General features: G+C 44.8%; 1 long non-coding RNA gene and 1 pseudogene across 1 annotated transcript; one reads left to right on the top strand and one right to left on the bottom strand.

Annotated features, from left to right (window-relative positions):
* Positions 1 to 711: 711 nt before the first annotated feature.
* On the bottom strand, positions 712 to 7,897 carry LOC105371203 (uncharacterized). The gene is made up of 3 exons (XR_942163.2): positions 7,521 to 7,897; positions 5,505 to 6,857; positions 712 to 1,209 (listed from the first exon to the last, which is right to left on the bottom strand). It is a non-coding gene; the product is annotated as an uncharacterized LOC105371203 (long non-coding RNA).
* On the top strand, positions 10,510 to 11,337 carry ZNF971P (zinc finger protein 971, pseudogene; annotated as a pseudogene).

Genomic DNA, 14,018 nt, shown 5'->3' with positions numbered 1-14,018 from the left:
TTATCTAGGATTCATCATTTTTCTCTGTGAGAGTGTTAGTTTAACTAGCTAATTCCCATTAGTGAAAGCAAGAATGTCAGTTTTGATTTTTGGATTTAGTATAAATGAAATTATATAGTTTGGATACTTTTACATCAATTTTTAAATGCAAGATTATATTTGTGATATTCATTTATGCTGTTGCATGTATCTACAGTCTGTTCATTTAAAAATTCCTTTTTTACATTGTGGTAAAATATACATAAAATTAACTATTTTAACAATTTCTAACGTGCAAGTCAGAGGAATTAATCATGCTCAGATTGTTCTGCAACCATCATCCACATTCATAGGGAATTTTGTTCATTTTGCAAAAATAAAAATAAAAGATAGAAACAGCCCCCATTTACCTTCTTTTGGCCCCTGGGAACTAACTACTCTTCTACTTTGTGTTTCTGTGAATGGGACATCCATAAGAACCTCATATGAGTGGAATCACACAATATAGTAAAGAAATCATGAGGAAGAACAATATACACTGTATAACATGTTTATTAATTTAAATAAACAGATCAGTAGTACATGGGGATTATAGAGAAAAATAGACAAAAAAGAAAAAGCAGTTAGAAGGGTGTGTTATATTTATGACTATGGTGTCTCAAGTTACAGAGCAGTGCCCCATACACAGGGCTGGCCATGGTGCAGCTGGGAGCCCAGTGCAGCTGTCTGACTCCCAAAGCCCATGCTCAGCCCAAACAACACTGAGCCCTGAGGCACTCTGCCCCTGCCAGCCCAGGTACTTAGTGGCCCTGAGATTCACCATGGCCTGTTCTTGGTCTTGAGGGTGTTGCTGGCCTACTGGGATGGGGGCTTAGCTGACAGAACAAGTAGGAGCTTCAGGAAATAGTGGCAGTTCTGAGGCTACCAGGAGCCACACCTCAACCTTCCCACTGCCTGCCCAGGGGTTCCCAGGCAACAGGGCCTAATGTTGACCTGGGAGCCATGGCCACAGGCTCTCTGAAGCTGGCTGCAAGATAGTCTTCTCCTACCGTCTGCTAATCTGTTAGGCCCTCACCTTTTATTCTGACTGTGTCACACTTCATGGACTGGACCAAAACCCCAAATTCCTCCTCAGTTGGAAGATGGCAATCACCCCCTGTCACTGAAACAGCTGCATTTCCTGGAGGACTTCGATGGGAGACAGAAGGAAGGGTGGGATTCTGACAGGTCCTGGGTGGAAGATAACAAAGAGAACTTATAGGGGAGGGATAGAGCAGCAGTGAGTTTCTGGGGCTTTTCTTTTAAGGGACCCCACCCTCTCTTCCAATCCCATGTAACCCTAACCTGTTCTCAGAGTTGGATATAAACAGTTCCTCATCTAGGAATTTATTGTTGATTCTAGTCCCCTAATCAAACCCTCCATTAGAATGGATCTCCTCTGTGTATCAAACCTTCCCAATAACTTTAAGATGCAGAGGGTGAAGCCAGCGAGTGGCCTCTTCAGGGTGGTGTCTGACTGTCACGTCCCCAGCCTCCCTCAAAGTGAGACCCCAGCTGCTCTCCTTCCTCCTTTATTAGTGTTGATTATATTTTCCTGGAAGGTAGACAGCCAAGATCCCTCAGAAAGACCCCCTGGCCCATGACTAGCCCTCATCCCCTGTACTTCCCATGCTGCACCACCGCCAGGGCTGCCAGGGTCAAGGCATGTGCATAAAACAGGACTTGGACCTACATCAGGTTCTGGGCTCCACAGAAGGGACACCTTTTGCCCTGATTCTCTGTGATGATAGACAGGGAAACTGAGGCCTAGGAAACAAAAAAGGCACTCAACAATTTAGGAACTTCCTGTCTTAGGAGGGGCCCAATTTCTGTTTTCTCCAATGGGTACCACCTAAGGCAGAGGCTGAGACTTAGCTCTGCAGCTTCACTACTCAAGGAACAGTGACTGGTGTCTTTGCTGGAGCCTCTGTCACTCATAGATAAGATGGAACTGACACCCCCCTTTCACATGGGCATCTGGTAGGCTCTCAGGAAAGCAGGTTTGCTGAGTGCTGCAATCTCAGGGCTTATTCCAGGACTCTGTTCTCACAAGCTTCAGGATCTTGGTTCCCAAACTGCCTGCCTGCCCCAGTGTCACACACATCATTATAATCCTCTATGGCAATGTCCAGCATCATCAGGTCAGTGAGAAGTGTGCCGAGAGAGGGTACAGCTCCCTGTTCCTCCAAGGTGGTAGCAGTGATGAGCACAAATTCTCAGCTTCCTGCATAAGGCCTGTCCTTTGAACTCTCACCAACCCATGTCTCCTTGACGCCCCTACCCAAGTCTCCCACTTGGAGCAGCCAAGGACCCTCAGCCTCCTTACAAGACATCTTTACCTCCTCTTTCCACAGCTGGCCTCCAAAGACACCAAGCTCTTTCTAGTTAACTCTAAGGTAGGATTTTAATAAGTCACAAAGTCAGGTTGTCCCCAGCCTCACTCTTTTCCCAATCCACTGTGAACTCAGCTCTCTAAGTCTCTTTCTCTGGTCACGTTAATGAAGGCATTCCAAGTACTGTGGCCACAGGAGGGCAGGGCTAGAGGAGGAAGACACTCTGGTCTCTTGATGTGGAGAACTCCAGCTGGGAGGGAAAAGCCCTGTCCTTAACTCCCTGGAGCAGCAACAGCAGCATCTGGACTCTAAAAAGTTCCCTACCTAGCAGAGTCAGAAACAGGGTCAGTGAGACTGTGGTTCTCTCACCGAGTTATACCCCAGACCCCTGACCTCAGATCTTGGATAACTGCATGAGGCAGCTGGTGCAATGCTCCCACCACCTCCAGTGAGCCCTGACTCTAGATTTACTCCCAGCTCCAACATTCAGTGTGTGTGTAACCCTTGGGCATGCAGCCAGGCCTCCCTGAGACTGTTTCCTCATCTGGGAAGCATGATGGGAACAACACCTTCCTCACAGGGCCTTTTGGGGACTCAGTTGCATGTGGTTATCCACACTGTTCTCACCATCATCCCTCTCAGGAAGAGGAAGGCACAAGAACTCTCAAAATTTCTTCCTCCTTTGCACCTTATCATGACCCTCTGAGGACTGCACAACAGGCTTCCTGGATTTTCCAGATGAGGAAACAGAGCGTCAAGGAGGGAAATGACTTGCCCAGGACCCCACAGGAGAGGCTGGCTCCTCCTCCCACCTGGAGGGCCTGCCCCAGCTGCTTCATGCCGCACACCAGCACCACCACTGACCAGGGTCCCATCCTCTGGACTCTATGTGTGTCCACATCCCCATTCAGGTCCAGGTTTGGTGGAAAAAAAAAAAAAAAACATGATGTCTTGGTAGGCCTGTTTGAGCAGTGCCAGCTTGTTCCAGCTTCACTGGAATTGGTATCACACAAGCTGGATATGAGGCTATGACAAAGACTTCACCTCCCTGATGATCCACCAAAGGAGATTCCCACACAGAACTCTCTCTTTATCCACTCCGTGCAGCTGGTCTGCAAGTGAAATTGTGCCCGTGTCCCACCTAGCAGCTACTGGACTCCAGTGTCTCTGATACCCATGGCTGATCACACCCGCCTTTAGAAGGCCACTAAGATTCAGGAGGACACAAACAGATCTTTGGCTCAGACAGGTTGCTTCAGCCTTATGTCCCGGGCCATCTCCTCTGGCCTTCAGAAGGCCCCTGTCAGCCTCAGTGTGCCAAGCCCTGACGCTGGCAGCCTTCAGGAGGTGGAAGATGACTTTTCTCTCTGATTCCATGCCCTGTTAGCCAGGACAGGGGAAGACTCGAGGCCTGCACAGTGGTTTCTGAGTCTCCAGGACCCAGTTTTCCCATTGTGGTGACAAGGAGGATGGCCAGAAGTACTGGTTTGGGGAAGATGGAGGGCAAACAGGAGGAGAAGGTGAGCTTCCAGAAAGAGGCCCACCACAAACATTTAGTGCATTGGTGGGCATGGGGATTGCTGGGTGCTGCTTGGAGGCAAGGCCATGGACCGATCGCCATGATAACCGCCCCCTGCCAGGGGTCACCAGGGATTGTCTGAAAACCCTTGGAAATGATACACACCCCTGATGCTCAAGGAATGGAAGAAGCTCCAGCCTCAGCAGCTGATCTAAGATGCTATGGGGGACAGGGACCCGCACCGAGTATCCTTTGGACTGCAGCCTGGGCATGCAGTCTGGGTCTGGGGCACCAGTAGAGTGCAGCCTGTGCCTCCACCATCCTTCCCCTCTTCTGGCTCACTCCTAGTCTGGCTGTGCCAAGATTTTTGCGGCCTGATCTCAGGCCCTGCCTGAGAAGTGTGTAAGGTTGGAGAGGCAGAGCAGTGTGAGTGGGGGAGGTGATTGATGAGAGCCCTGCTCATGTGCTGGGTGCTGTGAGAAGAGGGGACAGAGGTGGTCATTTTGTTCTGTTCAGAGAAGAAAGGACAGGCCAAAGCTCATGACACACTGTCTTTTTAGGGGGCCTCCCATTCAAGTCCTATCCAGTCTCCACTGTCCTACACTTCTGCAGACTGAGAAGATAAGACTCTGGTAGATGGGCATGGCTGCAAAGGTCCACATGCCCCCCTTGACAGACCCACAGACAGACAGCACTAGGGCCAGCACCCACGGAGGCTCTCTCCTGTGTGCTGGGCAGTGGACTCCCACATTCACACTAGGCAGCTATTCTGCCCCACCCCCCAGCCACCTGGCTCCAGTGACTAAAATCATCAGGGCTGATCAGGACCCCTGTTGGCAGGACTGCTGAGATTCAGCACGACCTGGACAAATCTTTGGCTCAGATGGGCCTCTTGAGCCTTTGGTGTCCTGGGCCATCTTTCCTTGCCTTCAGAAGTCCCCTGCCAGCCTGAGTGGGCCAGGCCCTGACCCTGGCAGCATTTCCCTGGGAGCCCCATCTCACCTACCCTCCATTCCCAGGTATCTTGCTCAGTGCTTTCCACTTTCCCAGGACAAGCCTAGACACAGACATGTCTAGACCCTGTGTGTTTGCCTTTATGGTGAGCAAAGAAAGAGAATGATTTCCATTTTCTTTTTATTTTTTTCTAACTTTACCTATAACTTATTTACTGTAAAAAGGCTTAGGCTGTGGGAAACCTGACTCACCCACCCAGGAGGCCCCAGCCATTAATTCAGTACCTTTCCAACCCACCGTGTCTCTAAATATTTCCACACTTAATAAAATAGGGGGAAGCACGAACAAGTGCAATTCCACTGGCACCAGAGCTGCGAAGATGGGGCCAGAAGGTCATGCCCATTAGGATTCTACAGGAATTCTATAGAAATAAACAACTCAAGGTTTGTTTGGACAGATTGACACGGAGAAATAACTTTGATAGGTTCTAGAACACAGAAGTTAAGCTTCCTAACAGCCATGACCTTACAGGTTCCTCTTCCTGAATTTGGCAATGTTTTTTGATGTCCAAATTTCCATGATGGCCTCACATATATAGAATAGTTTATACCATTCATTTTTATATTACTAATGGTGCATTTTGGCTGACAGTGTTTCCTACATCATGGTTAGTTTCCTACCTTGCTTGAAAATTGGAAGTGACAGCCCTTTATGGAATGCCGTTTTTGACACACCTCCATGTAAGGCTCTATGTCCGCACAGTGCTAAGATGTCAAGTAGTCCTCACTCTTCCATTTTGAGGGGGCCAGGGGCAGCAGAGGCAATTTGAGAATACAAAGTACCTTGGAATCAGAATTTGCTCTTCAATCAGTTTTAGTGCAAATTGCACATCTATTAGAATAGCCTGTTCATGCACTCTCAAGATTTCAAGGAGGGACAATTGTCACCTTTGAAAAATGGAAGTGACCAATGGACTGCCCTCAGATATTTTGTTTGTTTGTTTCTGGCATTTGGTCATAACATTGTAGATCGTTTCTTTTGGAATCACTGGGTGATGAGAATCCCCAGGCTGGAGAGCTGGGCACGGCGGAGTCCCTGTGGGAGAAGTGTTACTGGGGTCGCTGAGGTGGCAGGAAAGCAGCATCTGAGATACTCTCTGGCGCGGCCCGGGTGCTGGGTGAGGCAGCCAGCCCAACAGCTTATTCTGTGTGTGGAAGGGCCACCCCAGGCCTGGTCACGGACTCCAGCATCCAGGAAACAGGCGCGGGCCAGGGAGCGCCTTACACATTTACCTCTGCAGTGCGTGGGGCCTCCATCTGCCACTGGGTGCCCCACTTCTTCCTGCAGTGACGGGTCCTGTTCCCTTCCTTCTGGAGGCTTCAGAGGACTTTTCTCTCTGATTCCTGGCATGTTAGCCTGGACGCTGCAGGACCCCAGATCTGCGTGTTTCTAGAGTCTCTACAGTGCAGGTGCCCCATTGTGACAAGGAGGATGACCAAAAGTAGGGGGTTAGGGCGGTGAAAAAAAGAAAAAAAAAGGCAGGAGAGTTGCTGTAGGGAGGAGGCCTGACATGACTGCCTCTAGTTGGGGGCTGCTGGTGCCCCTCAGGGGCAGGGCTGGTCGCTGCCAGGGCAAGGCGATCTGCTGTGCTGAAGATTCTTACCTTTTCCACCCTTTCCCCCTCTGGGGACACCTGGGGAACCAGCTGAAGCACTAATTCCACACCCAGAACAAAGACTGCGGACCCTGATGTGTGCTCCTGCCTGCAGGACACAAGCATGAGCTATGGAGCACCGCATATGTCTAAGTTGTTGCAGGCTGGACCTGCCTCCCCACTGGGCTCATGACTTCTTCCTGGAGTGTGGGGGAGTTCTTCCTGGAATGCTGTTCATTCTGGAGACGGCAGATGACTTTTCTCCTGGACTTCCTACATGTTCACCTGACCCCTGCAGGGCCTGAGTTCAGTGGGTTTCCAGGGTCTCCTTGGTGTCAGGCGCCCCATTGTGACGACAGGGACGATGATCAAAAGTATGCTGGTGGTTGAGGAAGAAGAAAAGGAGTGGAGTTGCAGGGCAGAGGCTTGACAGAATCGCCTCCAGCCTGGGGCAGCTGGGGTGGCGAGGTTGGGGCTGGTTGCTCCCTGGGCAATAAACCATGCTGAAGAATGTCATTATCCCCACCTTCAGCTGGGGTGGCGAGGTTGGGGCTGGTTGCTCCCTGGGCAATAAACCATGCTGAAGAATGTCATTATCCCCACCTTCAGCTGGGGGCACCTGGGCATATCTGAAAATCTTGGGAAAGTGTTCACGTTTTCAGCACTTAAGAAAAGGAAGAAGTGGCAGCCGCAGAGGCTATTCCAGGCCTTTCAGCAGCATCTCAGCACCTGCATCGAGTGCCACCTGAACCACAACCTGGGCCTGCAGCTTTAGGCTGGGACACCTGTGAGAGCTCAAGCCTCACCGCCACCAGCCACTTTGGATTCACTTCTCCTCTGGCTGTGCGTGCTGGAGTTTGGGTCTCCTAGTCTCTGGTCTGCCCAGTAAGAGTGCAGGGGGTGTGGAGAAGCAAAGGGGTGAAGTCAAGAGCATTTTTCCAGTGCTGGGCATAGTGAGAAGTCAGAAGAGAGGTGATGATCTGGTTGTGCTTGAAGGGGAGAGGCCAAAGGCCAAGACATTCTGCCTTTTTAAGGGACTTACCTTTCAAGCCTTATTTGGTCTCCACTGGCCTTTGCTTCTGAGCACGGATGAGTTGGGGCTCTGTTACATGGATGTCTAAGGAGATCCTAACCCTCTCCCTGAACGACCGAGAGACCAATAGCTCTAGTCCAGCAACTAGATGATGTGACAGTCTTTTGCTACCTGTGCCCTCCCTACATAAGGGATTGTGACATACCACTGGGCCAAGCACCCAGGTAATGTGACTCTCCTGCCTGTCCCTGCCTACACTGGGCATTGTGACATATCACTGAGCCAAGCACCCAGGTGATGTAACTCCTTGTTTGGGACCTGTCAACAGAAGGGATTGTGACATATCTCTGGCCTATCACCCAGGAGATCTGACTCTCTTGCTTTCTGTTCACCCACAGGTAAGATTGTGACCTCTACCTAGACCAAGCATATATCATGATGTCTCTCAGGTGTGGAATGACCCAATAAAAGATATCTTGACTCTTACAGACAGATTTTGGTCAAAGGGTAAGGTCCTGAGTCTCCTACTTGTAAAAAGTTACAGAAGATTCTGACACACACACATATATTATGAAGGTTTTGGGTGGTACAGAGAGTTTCATAATACAAACCAGAGCACAGTTGATATTGTGACTTTCATAGGCACATCCTGCTGAAAATTAGAATTGCCACCCTCATACATGGACAGAGCCCCACTGGTGAGCTCCTGAATCTCACATGCAGATAAAGTCCACAGTTGGAATTGTGACTGCTATATGTAAATCTGGCCACAGGTGGGATGGTGACCCATTTCTGGTCCCAGCTCACAGGCCCAGTAATGACTTTAATAGCTGGACCCAGCCAATAACATAGATGTTTGCTTTAGTAACTAGGCTTAAGGCAACAGGTAATGTCCTGGGTTTCTTACTTGTACAAAAGTCACAGAGCCCTACAATACTCAAGCATATTGCACATTGCACTCAAGTGGTAAAGAGTTTCATAACAGGGTCCATCATGAAGAGGAAATTGTGACTTTTGTCTCCATACTCAGCTAACAGTAAGGATTATCATCCACCTACATGGGCACAGCCCATTGTTGAGGTTCTGAATCTCACATCTGAAGGGAAGTGAAAGTTGGAACTGTGACTGTTATACATGCATTCGGACCACAGGTACGATAGTGACTTTTGGATCAAGATTAAACACCCCATGAGGCTGTGTCTGCTTTATTAGGACACTTTTTTTTCAGAGGAGGTTGGGGCTTTTATGCACAGATCCAGTCCACTGTTGACATTGTGACTAATGTACTTGGATAGAACTCACAAAAGGTGTTGACTTTAATGTTTGGAGCCAGGCCACATGCAATATTGTGAATCTCATCCCTGGACATTTCTGCAGGTGTGAGTTTTACACATATCTTTGCCCAGCACTTAGTTGATTTTACTCTTCTGCCTGGTTCCCATCTAAACAGGGGATTGTGACCTATTCCTAGCCAAAGCACATAGGTGATGTGACTGTCCCACCTGGGCTATCCTCTCAGAGGAGATATTGAAATATTTATGCATTAATCACCAGGTGATGTGACTCTCCTCACTGGCCTGGGCTCAGCCCCCAAGGGGCATTGTGACATATTACTGGGTCCATCATCTAGGTTGATGTGACTCTCCTCTCCTGCCTGGGCCCCATCCCCATTTGGAATTTAGACATATTCCTGGTCCCATCACCTAGGTGATGTGACTCTCTTCTTTTGCCTTGGACCTGCTTACTGAGGAATTGGGATGTATTACCGGGCCCAGCACCTGGTAGACTTGACTGTACTTTTTTGCCTGGACTCTCCCTACAGAAGTGATTGGGACAAATCAATGGGCCAAGCACCCAGGTGATGTGGCTCTCCTGTCTAAGCAATGTCTGTAGTTGGGATTATGAAATATACCTTGGCCGTGTTTTCTAGGTGATGTAACTCTCCTCCCTGAGTCCCTCCTCAGAGGACATTGTGATATATCTCTGTGCCCATCACCTAGGTCATATGACTCTTATTTTTTTTCCTGGGCTCTGTCCACAGGGTGATTTGTAACACATTGCTGGACCCAGCACCCAGATAATTTGGCTCTCCTGCTATGGCCCTGCCCACAGAAGGCATTGTGATATATCAGTGGACTCAGCAGCCAGGTCATGTGACTTTCCTGCCAGGGCTCTTCTCTCAAAATGGATACTGACATATCTCTGGGTCATCATTCAGGTGATGTGGTTCTCCTTCCTGGTCCCTGCCCACAGGTGGTATTGTCTCATATATCTAGGTCCAGTTCATAGGCATGATGATGACTATCATACATGGACACAACAAACAGAAGAGATTTTGACTCTTCAAGCTGGACTTATTGCAATGTATCGGATCTTCAGTCTCCTAGTTTTGGAAAGGTCACAAAGTATGAGGAAGCTTATGCATATTCTATAATGCCCTTTGATGGTACAGAGATTGTTATTACAGGGCCCACCATACAGCCAACAGTTAAAATTGTCAGTCTCACATATGGACAAAGCCCACTCTTAAGGCCCTGAATCTCACTCATAGACACAGTCCACAGTTGGAATTTTGACTGTCATATGTGGATCTGGTCACAGGTAAAATGGTGACTCATTGCTGGACCTGGCTCCAAACAAACAAGCAAATAAAACAAACAAGCACAACTTTAAATTTATCTTTTTTTAGAAAAAGAATACCAATAATAAATACTTCAATGTAACATAGTTGTTTAGTGTTTACAAAATAGTTCACTTTGAAACTGTAGTAACAAACTTCGTATGTAAATATTATAATTATGATAATAGCTATAGGGACCTGTATTTTAGTCTAATCAATCTACTCAATTTCAAGCAATTCAGATATTGCAGAAAGTGTGTACTTTTCTGGGTACTGGTAGCAATGTAAATTCAAAACTTATTAATCAACTGAAAACTATTAAAACACCAACCATTAACAATATGCTTACAGATATCATATGGCAGAGACTGTAAAGGTGAAGAAACTTGTCAGCGTGGAGAAACCCTCAGTCCAATCCTAAATTTTAATCTGAGCAAGATAATTCCTACTGAAGTAAATCCATGTGAATGTAGTCTGTGTTGGAAAATCTTTATTTTTATCTATTCCTTCCTAGGCACCTCATATCTCACCCTGGAAACAAGCCATATGAATGTGAAGAAAATAGACAGAAGCCAGATAAACCTTAACAATGTCAGAAAGCCATCATTTTGTTCACACATCTTCAAGGACACATGGCATTGCACACTAGAAATGGACCTTATAAAAGTACTGTATGTGAAAAAGCCTTTGATTTTCCCAATGTACCTTATATACGTCAGAGAAATCACACCAAACAGAAAGCCTGTAAGTGTAAACAATGTGGTAGAGCCTTCAGCCACTTGGATTCTTTTGAGAAACATAAAATAACTCACACTGGGACAAAACTCTGTAAATGGAAGGTATGTGGTAAGGCCTTCAGATATTTCAGTTATCTTTGTAACCATGAAACCACTCATACTGGAGAGAAACACTATGAATGTAGACAATTTGGTGAAGCCTTTAGTTATTCCAGTAACTGCTCTAAACATGGAAGAACTCATACTAGAGGAAAACATGAATGTAATGAATGTGAAATCACATTTTATTCCCTCAGTTCCTTTCAAGCACATAAAAAACTCACATTGTTAAAAAATGCTATGCATGTACAAAATGTGAAAAAGCCTTCACTTATTCCAACTCCCTTCAGAAACACGAAAATCTCATACTGGAGAGAAACCCTTTAGATGTAAGAAGTGTGGTCATGGTTTCAGTTATTCCTCTTACCTTTGATATCATGAGAGAACTCACACTGGAGAAAAACCCTATGAATGTAAAAAATGTGGTAAAGCCTTCGGATATAGTAGTTCCCTATGAAAACATGACAGAACTCATACTGGAGAGAAACCCTATGAGTGTAAGGATTATAGGAAAATGTTTAGTTATGCCAATCATCTTCGTAGCCATCAAAGAACTCACACCAGAGAGAAACCCTATCAGTAAAGACTGTGGGAAAGCCTTCAGATCTTCCAGTTTTTGTCAACAACATAAAAGCACTCACACTGGAGAAAAACCCTATGAATGTAAGAAATGTGGTAAAACCTTCAGATTTTATAGTTCTCTTCCAAAACATAAAAGAACTCATACTGAATAGAAACCCAATTAATGTAAGCAATGTGGAAAAGCATTTAATTTTTTCAGTTGATTTTCTCAGTTAATTTTCTCATTTGAGAATGTTCTCTTGTACTTATAATTTATTTAGGATTTTATTTTTAAGGATTGTTGAAGTTTTTAAAATAATTTTTTGTTGGGATGATCCTTGTTTTTTAAAGTTACTCTGGCTGGGTATTGTGGCTCACACCTATAATCCCAGCACTTTGGGAGGCCAAGGTGGGCGGATTTTTTGAGGCCAAGAGTACAAGGTCAGCCTGGCCAATATAGCAAAACCTCGACTCTGCTAAAAATACAAAATAATTAGCTGAGTGTGGTGGTGCATGCCTGTAATCACAGCTACTTGGGAGGCTGAGACATGAGAACTGCTTGAACCCAGGAGGCAGAGGTTGCAGTGAGATGAGATAATGCCACTTGCACCTCAGCCTGGGCAACAGAGGGAAACTGTCTCAAAAAAAGAAAAAATGTTATTCTATTAATTGACTTTCAGATTTGACACCAATATTCTTTTTCTTGGTTAAATCTTGGTAATAAAGTGCAAATCTTTTTATATATTGGTAGCTGGAGTTTAATATTTTGTGGAGACTTTTTGTATGTATATTATAAGATTTGTGTGCCCCAGTATAGCATATAGTGTATATTTAGTGTATAAACAGTGGACATACGTGTGTGAATATGTATGTATAAATATATATAGTCACGTATCATTTAACTTCAGAGATACATTCTAAAAATGCATTCTCAGACAATTCTGTCAATGTAGAAACATCATGCAGTTTACTCAGAAAACTACACAATTTTACCTCCTACATACCTCATATATGCAATCTTATATGTGGTATGTCATTGACCGAAATGTTATGTGGCCAGTGAGTGTGATATGTTGTACAATGTGTAATTTTGTTCTTAAGTAGTGTTTATTATATACAACTATGTAATAATACATGTTACTAAAATACATGTACAGAATGTTCTCAATATCATTGATAGGTTCTTAAGAACTGTGACTTGAAGCAAAATGCTGTATGACATAGGAACTTTATTTTTGTATGTCAGTCAGCCTGTGGCAAAATTCACTTTATAGTACACTGTTTGACTTAAAGTCACAGTTTTCAAGAATCTGTCAACAATATTAAGTGACAATTTTCTCTAGTTAGTGTTGTGGTAAATAGTATATTACAGCATTATAGTACTATTCTATGTTACTGTAATCTTTACAGTTGGTAGTATGACATGTTTCAGTTCCTAGCCAGCCCACAGAGGTAAACCAGTCACATCTTCCTTTGAGAATCAAGGAATATCTCACCTTCTTGATACTACAAAGCCTTCCCCTAACACCCTATGTTTATTCTCTTTGCTTTGAAGTGCAGTCCCTGGGTGGACCTGCAAAGCTTATAATACTTTTCTCCTTTTGACTGAGTATATGTAACTAATAAACTGTTGTTAATCTTCTCTGTCTAGTAATGGATGTCATGGGCTTGACTGTCCCAGTAGCACTAAGGTGCTAATTCCTCCCTTAACAATGAGTAGGCTACTGAAATAATTGACAACACAAAAAGAGTGGACCAAAAATGACTGAGGATGTCTTTTCAACTTTAACTAACTGCTCTTGGGTTACTGGTTCTATTATACACTGAAAGTCACCTGGTTCAGAGCCACCAATTGGTGAGCTTTTGTTTGGTCTGCACAGGAGTTTATGACCTTTATCAGGAGTTGCTGTCTTTATCCACACTAAAGGACTCTCATCTGTAGATTGCTTTGAGTAGTATAAACATTTTAACAATATTGATTATTCCAATCCATCAACATAAAATATTGTACTTTTCTTGTATTGTCTTTAATTTCTTTCATCAGTGTTTTATAGTGTTTATTGTAAAGATCTTTTACTTTTTTGATTAACTTCATTCTGGGGTGTCAAAATTTGTTCATGTCTACTGTAAATGGAATTTATTTTTAAATTTCATGTTCAGCTTGTTCACTGTTGACATGTAGAAATGCTACTGATTTTTTATGTTGATTTTGTGTCCTGCAACTTTACTGAATTTGTTTATCAGTTTTAATAGTTTATTGGTGAAGTATTTAGGTCTTTCCACATATAAATTCATATCATCTGCAAACAAGGATAATTTTTTTTTCTATCCAATTTGGATGCCCTTTATTTCTTCCTTTTATCTGATTGTCCTAGTTAGGACTTCCAGCGCTGTATTGAATAAACTGTGGCAAAAGTTGGCTTTTTTAATGTTACTAGATCTCAGAATAAAAGATTTTAGCATTTTATTTTCCAGTATTATACTAGTTTT

Source organism: Homo sapiens, chromosome 16 (genome assembly GCF_000001405.40).
Source record: "Homo sapiens chromosome 16, GRCh38.p14 Primary Assembly".
NCBI classification, from domain to species: domain Eukaryota; kingdom Metazoa; phylum Chordata; class Mammalia; order Primates; family Hominidae; genus Homo; species Homo sapiens.
The sequence above is the reverse complement of the archived record's forward strand: the minus strand, read 5'-3'. Positions and strand labels throughout refer to the sequence as shown.